The sequence below is a fragment of the Homo sapiens genome, chromosome 2 (genome assembly GCF_000001405.40).
Source record: "Homo sapiens chromosome 2, GRCh38.p14 Primary Assembly".
NCBI classification, from domain to species: Eukaryota; Metazoa; Chordata; class Mammalia; order Primates; family Hominidae; genus Homo; species Homo sapiens.
This window is the reverse complement of record NC_000002.12, coordinates 64,796,272-64,815,271: the sequence shown is the minus strand read 5'-3', so window position 1 is coordinate 64,815,271 and position 19,000 is coordinate 64,796,272.

Below are 19,000 nucleotides of genomic sequence, written 5' to 3'. Positions count from 1 at the left end.
GGGATGCCTGGCACCTCAGAAGTCTTGCAGGCATTTCCAGATCCTCACCTTTTGTTGAAAAGACAACAGCTTCCAGTGGGTAGTGGGAAGATTCAGACCTTCTCAATGGAGCTTGGTGCCGCCTGTACTGGCCTCTTTATTAAGAGGTATCTAAGTGTTGTTGATATTGCCACTTATTTCCTTTGCAAACACTAGAATCAATAATGGCCATTTTTCAGTGGTTAGGCAGGTTCATAATGAAGCCTGGAGGTGTCTCTAAAGGAAGGAGTCAGGCTAACCTGGATTCAAATCTTGGCTTCACCACTTTCTAGATGTAGTAGGCTAAAGAAGGCAGCAAACTCTTTCCTATGCCTTCTCCCATTAAAAGATGAAGTCTGGAAAAAAAAAAAAATCGCTTGAACCCGGGAGGCAGAGGTTGCGGTGAGCCGAGATCACCCCATTGCACTCCAGCCTGGGCAACAAGAGTGAAACTCTGTCTCCAAAAAAAAAAAAAAGTGAAGTCTATTTACCCCTCCTTTAATCTGGGTTAGGCCTGTGGTTCACTTTGACCAATAGGACACAGTAGAAGTGATACTAGGGCAGAAGAAGACTTGTAGCTTCTGGCTGGCTCTCTTCGAATGCTTGTTCTTGGGACATCCCTCTGGGAACACAACCTTCCCGTGGGGAGGCTATGTGTAGGCAGGTGCTCTAGATGACAGCCCAGGTGACAGCCCCAGGTCCGCACTCGTTCAATAAAGTTTTGCTCTACTGTGCTTGGACATCCAGCTCAGTAGAGTCTTCAGAAGACTACAGCCACAGCTGACATCTATCTGCAACTGCATGAGAGACCTCACGTGAGAATCACCCAATGGAGCTCTGTCAACCCTAGGATCACAAGCAACCATAGTAAAGTGTTGTTTTCAGCCACTCTGTGTTGGGATAGGTATAGCGTAGAACCTCAGGTGAGATACGGAACCACTCTGAGGTTTTGTTTTCTTCCGCAAGCTGAGCAAAATAACAGTATCTACCTATAAAGTTATCATGATATGAATGCAATAATGATGGAAGTGCCTAGCATAGTGCCTGGCGCACAGTAGGCCTTCAGTATATGCCAGGTTCCTTCCTGCTCCTTCTCTAGGGTGCTCTGTATTCCAGATGTGTGTGAATCTTGGTTGCTGCTCTGAACTCACTGGGCAAAGATTCAACATCCTCCAAGAGAATGCCTAGAATCAATTTTGAAAATGGGATCGGAGAGTATTTGATTTTTCTTTCTGGGGCAATCTGTTACCCCTTAGGAAAAATATCAAGAAAATTGTATTTTTTTCTTTCTCCTCAATTTAAAGGGTGGAAGAATTAAGTCTTTACCTTTTTTAAAAGACAAGAAACGTGCTTGCTCACACTGAAAAGTACCGGCATGAAATGAAACAACTTTCCTTTTGTTTCACAGCCAGCAGGTTCTCTTCAACACCCCAGCCCTGGAGAGCCGCAGATTGGACAACGGGCAGACTTTGTTGAACAGATGAACAACTGTGGCTAAATCTGTTTTGGAAAAAAAAAAAAAAAAGACCTGAAGCAATTGATAAACAAGAGGCTGAGGTCAGTGTGAAGGAAGAATAAATGAGGCCAGATTGGAGAACGTTGAAAAGTAAGCCCCTTTCATCCCCTGTCCTGAATTGAGCGTGTGAGTAATAGTCAGGACTAATCCTGCTGAGAAAGGGATTGAGAATCTCTTGGATTGCCTGATGCTGGAGTTATGCTTTTTTAATTCAATTTTATTTTATTTTATTTTTGGAAAATTGTAGTGGAGTATAACACAGAAAAACACACAAGTCATAATACAGTTGCATAAGCTTTCATAAACTGAACATATCGTGTGATCAGCGCCCAGGTCAAGAAACAGAATATTGGCTGCACCCCAAAAGCCCCCGGCATTCCATACTCCTCACAGGGAGAATCCTGACTTGTAACCCAGTCCTCATTATTTTTTATAGCTCTCATACATAGAACACATATAAAATACATTCATGTGTTTTTTTCTAGGGACTTTCTATGCACCTGCTAGAATATGCATATGCTATTATATTGCACAGATGTAGTAAAATGTTTTTTGTTTTTTGAGACAGGGTCTTGCTGTGTCTCCCAGGCTGCAGTGCAGTGGTGCAATCACAGCTCACTGTAGCCTCAAGCTCCTGGGCTCAAGCCATCCCCCCACCTCAGCCTCCTGAGTAGCTGGGACCACAGGTGTGCACCACAATTCCTGGCTAATTTTTGTACTTTTTTGTAGAGATGGGGTTTTGCTATGTTGCCCAGGCTGGTCTCAAACTCCTGGGCTCAAGCAGTTGGCCTGCCTCAGCCTCTCAAAATGTTAGGATTACAGGTGTGAGCCACTGCACCTTGTGGTAAAATGTTTTAAACACTATGTAGCATATTACCCAGACTGTTCTGCCTGTTTTTATTTTTCATGTTTATATTGGTGATCATTCCATACCAACACATAGAAAGCAGCCAGATTTCTTTAGTGGTTACCTGTATTCCATTGTCTGAATGGATCACAACTTATTTAATTTTATTCAAAAGCAAAGAGGTTGTGTCCAACCTTTTGTAGCTGGCTTTTAAGTATACATATTCTTAGAGGTACCATTGGTGTCCTTTATTTAAAGTGGCAACTAGGCACTGCTCTCTGGAGGCTCTTACAAACACTACTAGTTCTCACTCCTTTCTGAAATGTGTTGGGTGTGGTGCCGCCTGGGGTGGTCGCCTATTTTATTCCCTCATCCTGTTAGAACTCAGTTGTTCCATGTTTGAACATGTAACCAGGAAGTGGAAATAATGTCCCTGACACCCCCACTTCCTTTTCTGGCAAATTGGTATCCGGTAAATGAATCCAACGACTTTCACCCACCCCTGTCCTTCAGGCAGCTACTTACTCAGCATTGTCCTTGCCACAATTTGGAGATTTCAGAAGATGGACCCCAAAAGCTCTTCCAAACAGGACTAGTTGGAAGAAACAGTGTTTGTTTTGGTTGAACCAAGCCTTCCCTTTCTGCTTGCCCTTTCCTCCTTCTGTGGATTCTTCTCACCCCTCACCACCAACCCCAGCCCTGCTCTCTTGTCTCGCCCTGCTCTGAACTCAGTTCTCAGAATAATTTAGTGTGAGTTCAAGACAGTGTCTACTTCTTTCTTCCAGTGGTATTTGCCCTTTAAATTTCATATCTGCCATAATTACAGAACAAAAGGCTTTGTCTCCTTAAGGCTTTTGGATTGCCTGACAGCAGGAACAGATATATTTGGGGGCTAGGGCAATCTCCTCACCTTTCTCCTTCACTAGCAGAATCATGCCTGTCCTTCTTCAGCCCCCAGAGGATGGGCCAGAAGGGGCAGGCATGGCTGGTTCAGGACCTCAGCTGGAGGTAGGAGCATCTCTGTATCTGTTACCTACAGTGAAGGGGTACATGTCACCAGCTTGTGCAAAAGGGTGCCAAGCCTGAGCTGCAGAAGCATATCCTCCATAGACACGTATCAGGGACCAAGGGCAGCCCTGATTCAACAGAGAAGGGAAGCACACAGGGGTGTAAATATCAGGAGGTAAGAATCACAGGAGCACCTCTGGGAACTGACAACTATACCTTCTCTGGGCCTCAGAGATGGTAAAAATAGCAATCCCCTCACAGGGTTGTAATAAAAGTTAAAGGAATAAATATTTAGTCATAGTAAGCACTCTATGTTTTATTTCTTGTTCATTTTATTATTTATATACATTTTTAGAGACAAGGTCTCACTCTGTCGCCAAGAGTGGAGTGCAGTGGCATGATCATGGCTCACTGCAGCCTCAAACTCCTAGGCTCAAGTGATCCTCTTTCCTTAGCCTCCTGAGTAGCTGGGACTGCAGGCGCTCACCACCACTCCTGGCTAATTTTTTAGTTTTTTATACAGATGAGGATTCCTTGTGTTGCCCAAGCTGATCACGAACTCCTGGCCTCAAACGATCCTCATGCCTCAACCTCCCAAAGCAACACTCTATAAATGCACTCTAATTATTGTGTGAGATGGTCTGGACACAGTGGCCCCAATTCTTATTACCAGTGACTAGATTAGCTGTCACTGCTCTATTTCTTGTCCTCTGACTTGCCCTGCTCTCCTGACTTGGCTATTCTAGCCTGAGCATTTTTCTAGTCTCTGCAGACCCCTTCATTGCCCCAGTCTCATGGTATCCAGGGGCTCCCCCACCTCCAGGTAAGGGGCTCCTCAGAACAGTAGCACATCACAAAAGGCACTGACAAGAACACCAGTGGATAGAAAATGATGTCTCATCATGTGAGCTTCTAAAATGGCTTGAGTGTTTTATTCAAGGTAAGCAATGCTTACCTTCATTGTCAACTAGAGCAATAGCATTCAATAGCATTCTTTCATAGTTCCAAAACTGTCAGAGGTTTATGAAACATTGTCTTAGTCCATTTGTGTTGCTATAATAAAATACCTGAGAATGGGTAATTTGAAAAGAACAAGAAATTCTTTCCCACAGTTCTGGAGGCTGGGAAGTCCAAGATCAAGGCACCAGCATCTGGTGTCTGATGAGGGCCTTCTTGCTGCATCCTCATCTGGCAGAAGAGTGGAAGAGTGAGGGGGGCAAACTGCTTCTGAAACCTCTTTTATGAAGCCATTAATTCATTCATAAGGGCAGAGCCCTCAAGACTTGTTCACTTCCCCAAATGCCCCACCTCTTAATACCACCACAGTGGGGACTAACTTTCAGCATGAATTTTGGAGGGGCACATGTCAAACCATATCAAATGTCTACATGGAGGGTAAGTTTAAATCTTAACTTCTACCTGAGGTCTTCTCAACGTTTTCCCCTCAAGGTTTGTTTATTTGTTTATTTATTTATTTGAGACAGGGTCTCGCTTTGTCGCCCAGGCTGGAGTGCAGTGGCGTGATCCCGGCTCACTGCAACCTCTGCCTCCCAGGATAAAGCAATTCTCCTGCCTCAGCCTCCAAAGTAGCTGGGATTATGGATGTACACCACCATGCCTGGCAAATTTTTATATTTTTAGTAGAGAGGGGGTTTCACCATGTTGCCCAGTCTAGTCTCAAACTCCTGAGCTCAAAGCGATCACCTGCCTCAGCCTCCCAAAGTGCTAGGATTACAGGTGCAAGCCACCACACCTGGCCCCCTGAAGGTTTAAACTCTTCATCCTCCAAGTTTTTGCCTGCAGCTATCATTTGTGCATAGTCTGCCTAATGATATCTCTAGTTTTCTAGTATGAAACAGAGGGACTGTATTGGGTTGAATAATGTCCCACAACTCCCAAAAAATTCAAGTGGCACCCAGAACCTCAGAATATGACCTTATTTGCAAATAGAGCCTTTGTAATTAATTAAGATCAGGTCATACTGGATTAGGGTGGGCCCTAAATCCAATGACTGGTGTCCTTATAAGAGAAATGAGAGAGAAAATGAGACACACACACAAACACACACAGGAAAGAAAGTAACACAGCAATGGAGGGGGAGATTGGAGAGATGCATCTACAAACCAAGGAATGCTAAGGATTTCTGGGAACCCAGAGGCCAGGAAGAGGCAAGGAAGGGAACATGTCCTGCCAGCACCTCACTTTTGGACTTCTAGCTTCTTGAACTGTGAGAGAATAAATTTCTGTTGTTTTAAGCCCCTGGTTTGTGATGATTTGTCATGGCAGCCCTAGGAAACGAACACAGGGACTCTTGGTTGACTCTTTAAAATAATTCTTTATTATGAATATTTTCATGGATTTTTTTTTAAGAGATGTAGTTTCTCTATGTTGCCCAGGCTGGACTACTTACAGGTGTGATCATCATGCACTACAGCAGCCCCTGTTGCTAGGACTACAGGCATGTGGTGGCACTGTGCCCAGAAAGTTTTAGCATATCAAAACAAAGAAAAGGTAATATATGCTGTCAAATTTTGATGGCTGTGACACTACAGTGGCTATGATGTCATTAGGAGATAGAAATTTTTCAGCTCCATCATGATTTTATGGGACCACCATATATGCAGTTCACTGTTGACAGAAATGTCATTTTTTGTCACATGACTATATATATAACTAAACTAGTATAACCAACTGTATTAGGGTTCTCCAGTGGGACAGAACTAATAGGATATATGTATATATGAAAGAGAGTTTACTAGGGAGAATTGGCTCACATGATCACAAGGCAAAGTCCCACAATTGGCCGTCTGCAAGCTGGGGAAGAAAGAAGCCAGTAGGGTTCAGTTTACTCCTAAAGCCTCAAAACCAGGGAAGCTGACAGCATAGCCTTCAGTCTATGGCCAAAGGCCTGAGGGCCCTGGGCAAACTACTGGTGTAAGTCTAAGAGTCCAAAGGCTGAAGAACCTGGAGGCTGATGTCCAAAGGGCAGAATGAACAGAAGGAAGCATCCAGCAAGGCAGAAAGATGAAAGCCAGAAGACTTAGCAAGCCAGCTTATCCCACCTTCTTCCACCTGCTTTGTTCTAGCCATGCTGGCAGCCAACTGGATGGCACTCACACGTTGAGGGTGGGTCTTCCTCTCTCAGTCCACCTCCTCAAATGTCAGTCTCCTCTGGCAACACCCTCACAGACACACACCCAGAAACAATACTTTATCAGCTATCTAAGCATCCTTCAGTTCAATCTAAGTGGCTATGTTGTCTGGGGTAAATACCCAGGGTTCGTCATCTCGTGCCAGGAAAATTTAGGACACAGACACACACAAGGAGTTTAGAAGTGGAGTTTAATAGGCAAAAGAAAGAGAATGAAAGGGAGAGGAAAACAGCTCTCTCTCTAGTGAGAGAGAGAGGACTTCTGAGAGGAAAAGATCGGCAGGTGGAGGATGTGCTGGATTTTATAGTCAGGCTTGAGGAGGTGGTATCTGATTTACATAGAGCTCACAGATTTGTTCAATCAGGTATGACATTTACATAGGGCCCAGGGAAGGCTGGCCACCCCACCCTAATCTTACTATGCAAATGGGCTTTCCAGTAGACCAGCACCATCTTGTCTGCTCCTTACTGTACACATGGCTGACAAAGAGAAGGGAAGATGGAGCCACCATTGGTGGCATCTATGTCTGCAGCTTGATTTTACAGGCTGCTCTTTGTAATTTGGGGCTGCTTTCATTAAAAGGAAAACCTTACCGAGGACTTCCACACCCTCATTATCTGCCTAAATAATTTCTTCTTAACTCCTGTATCACAATCAAGTGGACACCTAATATTAGCCATCACACCAACATTTATTGAATGCTTATTTTATGGCAAGTACCATTCTAAGTGCTTTATAGGGTGTCTATCACAGCATAAAACAATCCTAAGACCAGATGCCATGGCTCATGCTTGCAATCCCAGTGCTTTGGGAGGCCAAGGCAGTGGGGATCACTTAAGGCCAGGAGTTTGCACAACCAGCCTGGGCAACATAGCGAGACCCTGTTATCTATGAAAAGTTATTTAAAATAATTTTTTAAAACAACCATGAAATACAGTGACTTAAAACAACCATTTTTTTTCCCCCGAATGGCATTTTTGTCAGAGAAACAAAACCAAAACTAACCACCATTTTATTTGCTCACAGTTCTACTGGTTAGGAATCCAGGCAGGCTCAGTTCAGTAGTTCTGTGCCCACGCATCAGCTGACATTTACTCAGCTGCATTTAGCTGGTGGCTGGGCTGGAAAGACCAAGGCATCACTCATATGTCTGGCAGTTCAGTGCTCCTCCATGTGGCTAGCTTGGGCTTCCTCAAGGCATGGTGACTCACCATAGTTGGACTTCTCACGTGACAGCTGAATTCCAAGAGGATGGAATTGGAAGCCTCTGATCTCTTAAGGCCCGGCCTTAGATATTACACATCCTAACTCTACCCCATTCTATTGGTCTGTGTTAGTTTCCTACAGCAACTAACTGCAGCAAATTACCAGAAACATGGTGAAACTTTGTCTCTACTAAAAATACAAAAATTTGCCAGGAGTGGAGGTGCATGCCTGTAGTCCCAGCTACCTGGGAGCCTGAGAATCGCTTGAACCCAGGAGGTGGAGGTTGCAGTGAGCTGAGATTGTGCCATTGTACTCCAGCCTGGGCAACAGAGCAAGACTCCATCTCAAAACAAGCAAACAAAACCCACAAATGTATTATTCTACAGGTTGGGAGATCAGAAGTCTAAAATGGGCCTCAGTGGGCAGAAATCAAGGTGTTGGCATGGCTGCATTTTTCGGGGGGGTGTCTACAGAAGAATCCTTTTTCTTGCCTTTTCTGTTTTCTTGAAGCTGCCTGCATTGCATGGCTGGGTCCCCTTTCATCTTCAAGGCTAGCAATGGCTGGTCAAGTCTTTCTCATCCCGTGTCGCTGGACTCAGACTCTGTCCTGCCTCCCTCTTCCACATTTGAAGACCCTTGTGGTTCCATTGGGCCCACCTGGATAATTCAAGATCCTCTCCTCCACCTCAAGGTCAACAGATTAACAACCTTAATTCCACCTGCAACCTTCATTCCTCTTTGCCGTGTGATGTATTATAGTCACAGGTTCTGGGACTAGGACATGGACATCTTTGGGGAGTCAGTATTCTTCCTTTGATGTGGTCAAAACCAGCAACAGGGACAGCCCAGTCTCAAGGAAAAGGGAAACAGACTCCACTATTTGACGAGAGGAAAAGCAAAGCTTTTGTGGCTCTCTAGTGCACACAGCGTGTGTTAACTCACACAGTCTGCAGAGCAACTCCGTGAGGTAGGCACTAGTATCATGCACATTTTAAAGTAGGACTCTAAGAACAGAGGTGTTAAGAACTTGGCTAAGGCATGCCAGCTGGTGAGCAGGGCAGCTGGGGTTCAAATCAAGGCAGAGTGGCAGCAGGGCTGGAGCTCTCTCATGCCTGGCATGCCTGGTGCTCCACAAAGGTTTGTTTTCCCCTCCTCTGATCCCCAGTTTTTCAGCCCCTCAAGGCAGGAAGCCCCCATACCCGTGATTACACACACACACATCTCTCTCTGTCTCATATAAACATTCACATACACATAAGGATTCGTGGTTAAGTCCCTTTAGCAAGTAGAATGGTGGAATGATTGCCATTTCAGTGAATAAATATTCAGCTTTGGTTTTCAGGCTGTGTCCTGTCTGGTTATTAAAGTTTTCTTATGATTTCTCTCTACCTGGGTTCTGATGCATCCACCTAACTGCTACACTCTTTTCGCTTTTTTTTTTTTTTTTTTTTAATAGGTTCTCGCTCTGTCACTGGGGCTGGAGTGCGGTGGAGCAATCATAGCTCACTGCAGCCTCAACCCCCTCGGCTCAAGAGACCCTCCTGCCTCAGCCTCCTGAGTAGCTGGGACCACAGGCACAGTGCACGGTGCCAGCTATTTTGGCTTTTCCACTCAAACCCGCTTGTGGCTACTAGTCCTTATTCTCGGACGTGTCTTAACAATGTGTGGGCCCTCCCCTGCTCTGGTGTGGCTCTGAGCCCCAGCATTCCTCTGCCCTACATACCCCCACCCGACTCCAGGCCCAGCCTCCCAGAGCAAACTGCTGCTCTGCCTCACGTAGTGCAGACCCTAACTGGGAAATGACAGGAGCTGTGCCCAAATGAAATGGAGGAAGCAGCATCCAAAATCAGCCTCTTGTCAGAATACATTCAAATATAGGTGAATTTTGAAATCAAATAGGCTTAAGGAGTTCCTCTGTCTATCCATTTAATAGCTGTTTGTGGAGCACTAGTCCAAGACCTGGAGTACAGTTATGGGTGTGACAGCGCCTGAAAAAGAATTCTTTGGTTTGGGCTGAGATCTGCACTTCCTATGCCAGAACCTGGGAGAAGGGCCCAGTGTCAGGACAGCCTTGCAGACAGAAGTGGACATGTGCCTTGCAAACAAAGTCATGCTTTTAGGCTCATTCGCTTCTCCAACAAAGGTATATTGTCATTTGTTATGAGCTAGTCACTGTACTGGGCACAGAGGACAAGGATGAATAAATTAGATGTGTCCTGCCCTCAAGAAGCCCACAGTTAATTATAATAGTTATGATCCACATTTTATACCTGGGCGTGGAACATCTAAAGATGTTAACCACTATCTGAGTCTGCCAATAAGGCAAGGCTTTTTCCCAAAAAAGTCTTGCTCAAAAAAGAAAGGAGTACTTTATCTTTGAGTCCTTTCAATGTATCTCATGTTACACTAATGTTCACTAAATTACTTCATATTTAGCAACTATGGTACAGTCTGGGAAGACATTAGCCTACAATCACTTCAATTAATGTAGTTTGGGATGCTTAGGGAGATCATTGACTCAGTACAAAAGGAGGTGAGCACGAACACAGATTCGTTAGTTATTCCTGGAGGTGTGACTTCACATTTGCAATGCTGGAAGTTGCTGTAAACAAGCCTTTTATGATGACTTTAAAAAGCAGTACAGTGAGTGGTTATGGTGGGGAGACCAGTGAAAACAGAAACTGACTAATGCTGTGCAAATGGGCACTTAGTGGTTTGGGAGAAAATTTCCAGTGACAGCATCCTATACAGAGTCCGAGACAATCTCCAGCAGTCCAGATGGAAGTGAGAATGCCTTCAAAATGGCTCTAATGATAATAAGAATACTGATGACCAAGGGGCACAGGAAAAGTTTGAATAGATTTGTTTTAAGAAATATGAGCGACCGGGCACAGTGGCTCACGCCCGTAATCCCAACAGTTTGGGAGGCCATGGTGGGCAGATCACCTGAGGTCAGGAGTTCGAGACCAGCCTGGCCAACATGGTGAAACCCTGCCTCTACTAAAAAAATACAAAAATTAGCCAGGTGACATGGCATGAGCCTGTAATCCCAGCTACTTGGGAGACTGAGGTAGGAGAATCGCTTGAACCCAGGAGGCAGAGGTTGCAGTGAGCTGAGATTGTGCCACTGCACTCCAGCCTGGGTGACAGAGCAAGACTCTGTTTCAAAAAAAAAAAAAAAAAGTGAGAGTGGGAAAAAGCAGCAATTATAAATTAATTCATTATATTATAAAAATGATATTAAACATGTACATATAACTAAACTTATACATGTAATAAGCATATCACAATTTCATCTATATCACCTAAAGTTTTATGTGCTCAAGTTGACCAAAACATCACAGGAGGATTTACCCTTTGGAAAATTTAGTGACGACTTGTATTTGGTGCCAACTTCCATTTGGGCATAGGTGGAACTTTTGCCCAAATTCAAACCAGCAGTGGGAGGACAGCCAGGTTTGTCTGATCTACCCATGTGTTTGCCTTAATTCCTCATTTAGACCTGATTTAACAAAATCTAACACAATGGGTTTGTGCTGTATCATCTATTTCATTCCATTTCAACTCAAAGCATTTATTGACCAGCAACAAAATGGAGAAATTGTTTTTCAAGTCTCTAAACCACTTTTAATAGTGAACTAAGAGAGAAGAGACTGCCTTTGAACCGAAGACTACAGAAAAAGGGTGGTTTTGACTAAGAACAGCACTGGATTTGGGTTTTACAGGCCATTCTCCTTGTTAGGCAATGCATCTTTCCTGTCCTCTTGCTTACTTCCTAAGAAGGATTAAAAATGCCAGAAACCTCAGCCCCAACAGGATGGCTGCAGGGAGCAAATAAATGTATGATTTCCCTCTGTCTGCTTTAAAATAATAATTTTTTTAAAAGCCCGTTAGTCTCTTTGGGTAACAAATTTTTATCTTTTCTTTTCTTTTCTTTTTCTTTCTTTTTTTTTTTTTTTTTTGAGACAGAGTCTTGCTCTTGTCACCCAGGCTAGAGTGCAGTGGCACAATCTTGGCTCACTGCAGCCTCCGCCTCCCGGGTTCAAGCGATTCTCCTGCCTCAGCCTCACGAGTAGCTGGGATTAGAGGTGCCCGCCACCATGCCTGGCTAATTTTTGTATTTTTAGTAGAGATGGGGTTTTGCCATGTTGCCCAGGCTGCTCTCGAACTCCTGACCTCGTGATCCACCCGCCTCAGCCTTCCAAAGTGCTGGGCTTACAGGCTTGAGCCACCGTGTCCGGCCCTACTTTTTCTTTATACTTTGCAGTATCATGTGAATTTTCTACATGAGCATATATTATCTTCAATCAGAAAAGAATCAGTAAGCATTCATTTCTGAAAACACACAACTACTAGGCTCCAGAATTTAAATTTTACTTGCCAGATTTGCATTGAGCCCACGTCACATTTAATCTCTTTCCTTACTATTAATCCAGGCCAGAAAACCAAGGCACTTGCCTGTGGGTAATATATACAAGGATCCCTTCTCTCACGATTGGCCTGCCCCCACACCACTTCCCCCAAGATGCCCAGAGAACCGCACACGAAACAAACAGAACAGAAAGATGCCGAGAAGTTTGATTTTGTGTCAACTTGACTGGATCAGGGGTCCCTGGGTGTTAGGCTAAGGGTGTGTCTGTGAGGATGTTTCTAGATGAGGTTAACATTTGAATCAGTGGGCTCAGTAAAGTTGCCCTCACCAGTGTGGGTGGGCCTTATCCAATCTGTTGAGAACCTAAACAGAACAAAAGGTGGAGGAAGGGAGAATCTGCTTCCTTTTTTCTTTCTTTCTTTCCTTTCTTTCTTTCTTTCCTTTCTTTCTTTCTCTTTCTTTCTTTCTTTCCTTTCTTTCTTTCTTTCTTTCTTTCTTTCTTTCTTTCTTTCTTTCTTTCTTTCTTTCTCTCTCTTTCTTTCTTTCTTTTTTTTTTTTCCTGCTTGACTTATTGAGCTGGGACATGGGTCTTTTCCTGTCCTCAGACCAAGACACACTATAGGCTCTCCTGGTTCTCAGGCCTTTGAACTCAGAGGCAATTACATTACTGGCTTTCCTGGGTCTGCAACTTGCAGATGGCGGATCATGGGACATCTTAGCCTCCACGATCTCATGAGCCAATTCTTCGTAATAAATACATGTATTACTTTTATTATATATATCTCCTATTGGTTCTGTTTCTCTGGAGAATGCTGACTTATACAGATGCCAAAAACAGCTGGTGCTATGTCTTTTTGGTGTGTGTGTTCAATATTATGATGTCTCTCCCTGACAGTCTCCTTGTAAGGCCACACTCTCACAGACATATCAAATCCCTAGAAGTTCTGTGAAATAAAGAAGGAGGCCCTGTGAGCCTCAGGATGAGCCATGCTATCTCTCTGAGCTGGAGTTTGCTCATCTGTAAAATCAGTGATTGGATCCAAAAGAGAAAAATGAAAAGGAGCATTGCTTGAGGAGACAGACAGGACTGGATTCAAATCCCAGCTGCTTATCACTGGGCAGGAAGCTGAGCCTCAGTTTCTTCATTTGAAAGCAGGTGATAAAAGCCCCATTTTGCAGCAGCTATTATCTTGTTGTGAAGAGTAAACATAATGTGGATTGTATACTGTATAATATACACTGGTATATCTTATATGCCAAACAAATGGTAGTAATGGTTGTTATGATCATTACTACTATATATGTGAAAGTGCCTGTTTTTCTTAAAACAAAACCATAAAGCACACTCTGCCAGCTCAGCTGTGCAAACTGTGCACTGCACAACTCCAGAGGGTGCCATCCACATGGACCACAATGTCTGGTGGTACCTGAGAAAGCTCTATAAAACTTTTAGTTATTACTTTTACTAAGAATAACAGAGAGATAATATAGGACTTTTTTTGTTGCGGTAGGCACAGCTGAGGCCTCTACATTGATAAATTAGGTGACAAGAACACCTTTTAAAAGAAACATTCTCGGCCTTCTGGGCAGGACTTGTTAAATAAAAGACAAAAACAAAAACAAAAAAACACAACAGAAACGGAGTTAGTTCTGCGATTCATTCTAAATGTTGGTAGTGAAATTTTACTGGAAAGCGATCCAGATCCAGACCCCAAGAGAAGGTTCTTGGATCTTGCACAAGAAAGAATTCAGGGCGAGTCCATAAAGTGGAAGCAAGTTTATTAAGAAAGTAAAGGAATAAAAGAATGGCTACTCCACAGACAGAGCAGCCCCGAGGACTGCTGGTTGCCCATTTTTATTATTATTTTCTGATGATACACTACACAAGGGGTGGGTTATTCATGCCTCCCCTTTTTAGACCACATTGGGTAACTTCCTGATGTTGCCATGGCATTTGTAAACTCTCGTGGCACTGGTGGGAGTGTAGCAGTGAGGACAACCAGAGGTGACTTTCATCACCATCTTGGTTTTGGTGGGTTTTGGCTGGCTTCTTTATTGCAACCTGTGTTATCAGCAAGGACTTTATGACCTTTATCTTGTGCTGACCTCCTATCTCACCCTGTGACTTAGAATGCCTTAACCATCTGGGAATGCGGCCCAGTAGGTCTCAGCCTTATTTTACACAGACCCTACTCAAGATGGAGTTGCTCTGGTTCAAACGCCTCTGACAAAAATACTGGGGACAGAGTTACCCTGGATTCATAGGCATTTCCCTTGCCCTGAAGCCTAGTGAGAGGACCCGAGAGATGGACCCAGAGTGCTTGACATGGGGTTCCTGCACTTGGGAGGACTGGGAAAGTTGAAAGGTGAGGTACTGGCTGCCCTGCTCCTGACAGCTGGGCAAGGAGAATGCTGCAGAGGAAGGAGCCTATGCCCCACAGAGCATCTGGGAGCATCTCTCGGGCAGAATGGACACCTTGGAAAGAGAGTTGGCTTGAATTGTTTTCAAATTTCTTTCAAGGGCAAGAGATCTGCTTGCTGGGGCGGCTGACCACAGGGGTAGGGAACTGTGCATATCAACCTATCAACAAAAACCAAAGTCACGATGAGGTTAAAGTGGTGGGCTGCAGGGTTGCAGCCCTGGCTAAGCAGCAGTTAGTGCATGGCCATTGCCTCCCCAGGTTTCAAAAAAGTTAATGAGGCATGAGGGGTCACCTGGACCACTTCATAATGACTTTTTACAACGGCCCCAGTCAGGTAGGCAGTTTCTGTCCTTTACCTGTCTTTGCTCCCCATGCCACATCCTGGAGGAGTCAAAGGCTGAAGGAGGAACAGAAGAGTAGGGTAGAAAAAAAATGAGAAATACAGGATGGGTTTGGTTGCAGCTGGGCTAGTAGCTGACTGTTGATGAATTTCTGAGTGAGACTGGAAAAGCGGTGGGATTGACCTTCTCATATCATTCCCAGATGGGCACCCAACATAGCAGGTGTGAGAAAAACAAAGCCATCTCTAGATTTCAGGCCCACAGCTCAGCCCAGTGACTCAGGGTGACGACCCTGGTAGTTGACAGTGCAGCTTTGGCCTCTCCCTCTCTAGGTTCTTTCCTTCTGGACACAGGCCAGGAAAACCTGCCCATGGCTCTGAGCAGCTGCCTCCCTGGATTGGCATGTGCTTCATATCTCTCCAGCTAAAATGAAGGTCCCCTGAAGCCAGGGGCTGTGTTTCTTCTCATCCTTAGCCCCTAACACAAAGGCTATTAAAAGTTTATTATTGAAAAGGAGGAAAGACCCTGGGCATCAGCATCAAGGTGTACAGAAGATGATGGAGGAGGGAGAGTGTGGAAAATGGAAGCGACTCATCCAATAGGCAAGGTGCCAGCTCCTTCTCTCCCTTCATATCTGAGACAGCCATCTCTGGGCTATAAGGTCTCGGGGATAAAGAAAACCATGGACTTCCATCATAATCTCTCCAAAGCCACACTTCTCTGACCTTTAAAAATTCAATTTGAGGAGTTGAATGTGGTGGCTCATGCCTGTAATCCCAGTTACTTGGGAGGCTGAGGTGGGAGGATGGATGGCTTGAGCCCAGGAGGTCAAGACCACCTTGGGCAACATAGCAAGACCCTGTCTCTAAAATATATTTATTTTTAAAGAGCCAGGCATGGTGGTGCACACCTGCGGTCCCAGCTACCTGGTGGGAGGACTGCTTGTGTCCAGGAGTTGGAAGCTGCAGGGAGCTATGATCATGCCACTGCCCTCCAGCCTGGGTGACAGAGCGAGACCCTATCTTAAAAAAAAAAAAAAAATCAATCTGAAACTTAACAGAGTTACCGTAAAAACTAAGTTTTTCTGGCCTTCTCGTAACTGGAAATATCTGGTTTACTACACATCTACTTTACATGAGGATGATTTGTTTCTAGTGATGGCCTGAGACCTGAGGCACTGAAAGATTCTGAAGACCTGGTCATCTCAGAAAGTCTGAGTTCCACAGCAGCCAAAATTGGGCTTGAAGTGTGTTTCTGTACATAAAAGTCTTCAAATGGTTGCTTTTTATTGGCCCAAATAATTGACTAACCTGAAGATCTCATTCCCCAGTCATGTCAGAGGATAAATATTGATCATATTTGGTGGTCAGGCTCAACTATGAGAGAAAATTTCCTCCCTCCATTGCTCAAATAAACGTTCATGCCAAATAAATCTCTCCAGGGCCGACTTCAGATGAAGGATGTTCAAGCTGAAAGAAAGTGATGAACCTACATGAAAACATATGTCCCTTCTCTGTATACATTTATGGATGGATGTCTTAGGAACTCAAGAAAATGCCTTTTTTCCCCAAAAAAAGTACCAACTCCCCTACATTTTCTTGGCAGTTCACAATTAGAGTGCACTGGAGAGATTGAATTATTTTACTTCAAATGTGTAGAAGCACACTGTTCTCAGAAAACTGCTGAAGTCTATCTGAGTATCAGCCTGTCTGATCATTTAGGGTCGCAGCTGTGCAATAAATGTTGGTTTATCCTTTTGGCCATTACAGAGACACTAAATCCAGAGCCAGCGTCCACCCAGAAGTTTTGAGTTTATTTGAATAACATTCTTATGCCTACAGGAAAATGAGTGTCCATGGTGAACTGATGTGTAGGAAATTGTTAAATGTTGAGGGGCAGGATGGGGGATGGTAGAAGAGTTAGAAAAAACCCAAAAACCCAGGGAGGTCATCTCAGAGAATTAGGAAATCCAGATCTTTTCTTTTATAAGCCTCAAATATTTCCAGGATTCCATCTGGCTTTCATTTCTAACCCCTTGTCTTCTAACAAAGAGAATAAAGATGGTTTTAAAACTAAATGTGAGCCCTTCCAGAAAAAGACTGAACAGGAGTTTCTCTCTTCCCCTCTTTTGCCTGGTAGCAGAATTTTCTTTTGCACTATTAAAAATGGCGTGGGCCACCTTTTCTCTAAAAACACACGAAGCTGATGCATAACTCTTTTCCAAATAATTAATCTTTCCAGTGGAATCTTTCAAAGCCCCACATTTCCTGTTATTTTATACAACTGCAATTTGTAACTGGAGCTCCTGCCCAGTGTTCCACAGGCAAAATGCCAAATCCACTACATTTCACCTACTGAGGTGCCCTGCACAAATAATCCTTAACCACAAGTTAAACAGTTAGGTCCTGTGCTCGCTTGAAAGAAAAGCCCAAGAAACAAAAGACTTTTACCATACTTCTGTGCTAAAATTTTAGTGGATGCTCACAATGTTTTATTTTCCAACGTCCACATTTGAAAATATCACCAGTATGCCACAAGAAAAGATTTTTCAAAAATGAATTGGTTCTTGTGTTAAGTGAATGTTTGAGAGTCATAAAAGTGACACCTTCTTAGTTATCTGAAGGCCAAAAGCTGTGGCTGTTGTATCAGATCCACCTCATTTGCTTCCTTGTCTTTGAGCTGGAAGGCCAGAGCTAAGGTTGGCTAAAGGGTAAGCTGGGGAGGCAGGATTTGTGGGGTCGGCAGGTGACCCCATCCGATCTTCCCCCTGCACTTCCCCTGTCCATTCACTCAGTTACCACTCCTCCAAGTTGCCCATGAACTGAAGTTCTCTCAAGATCACTAGGTTGGCCCATCTCTACAAAAAACACAAAAATTGGCCACCTGGGACTACACCTGTAGTCCCAGCTAGTAGGGAGGCTGAGGTGGGAGGATTGCTTGAGCCCAAGAGGTTGAGGTTGCAGTGAGCTGTGTTTGCACCACTGTACTCAAGCCTGGGCGACAGAGCGAGACCTTGTCTCAAAAAAAAAAAAAAAAAAAAAAAAAATCACGAGGTTGAGAGTTTCTTCTCTTTCAAATCCTTTCCATTCTCCTTAAACACCTCCCTACCCCAACTTCACATTTCTTTTTTTTCCCCTGTCATAACAGCCTACGATTGAATCACCTCACATTTCTGCATATGACCTGCCTTTACTTTTCAAAAATTGATGCCATAGAGCCAGGCCCCCAGCTTCCTGCTGCAGCCCCACCTTCCCTGGCGCCATCCCCACTTCCTTTCCTCCCATCCCTTGGCGGATGCGTCCTGCCCTTAGGTCAAGCCCTGCACCTGTGTTCTGGATCCCAGCCCCCAGAGCCCCACACTAGAAAATGTCTCCTCTCCCTTCTATTTCCAACGCTTCTCTGACACCCGAATCCTTCCCATTTACACTTAAGCATGCTTGAGTCTCTCTCAGCACAAAACAAAAACACCTCTCTGAAACCACAGCCCCTTCCTACAACTATTCTTTCTTCTCTCCTTCCCAGCGAAACTTCTCAAATGAGTCGTCTATACTCCACTTCAATTTCATCCGCTCCCCTCACTCCTCAGCCTCATCACTTTAGCTAAAATAATTAATGACCACCACATTGCCAGAAAGAACTCAGTCCTTATGTCCCCTAGTCTCTCTGGGACCATTCCCTCCTAAAACCCAAGTCCCTGGGCTTTGAGGACCAAAGCCCTTCTCATTTTCCTCCTACCTCTTTGCCTGTGGTTTCTTTTTCTCCTTTGCAGACCCAATCTTCTCTACAGAGCCATTAAGTGTTTAGGTTATTTAAGCTTCCTTTTCTCATCTATATGCAATCCCTGCTACCCACATCCACTACTCCGATAATCAGGCTCCTACTTGCAGTTGCCTATGCCAAGTCTCCAACTGGGCTTTTCATAGGCACAAGTTCAAATCCCAAGGATCTTTCCTCCCAGACTTGCCTCACTACCTCAGATTCTTATCTCAGCCAATGACACCACCATCGGCTGGGCTGCTCAGGTCAGAAACCCAGACATCCTTGATGCCTTTCTCTATTTCTCAAATTCAACCTATCCCTCAACCCTGGCAATTTTACCTCCTAAAATTTCTGATGT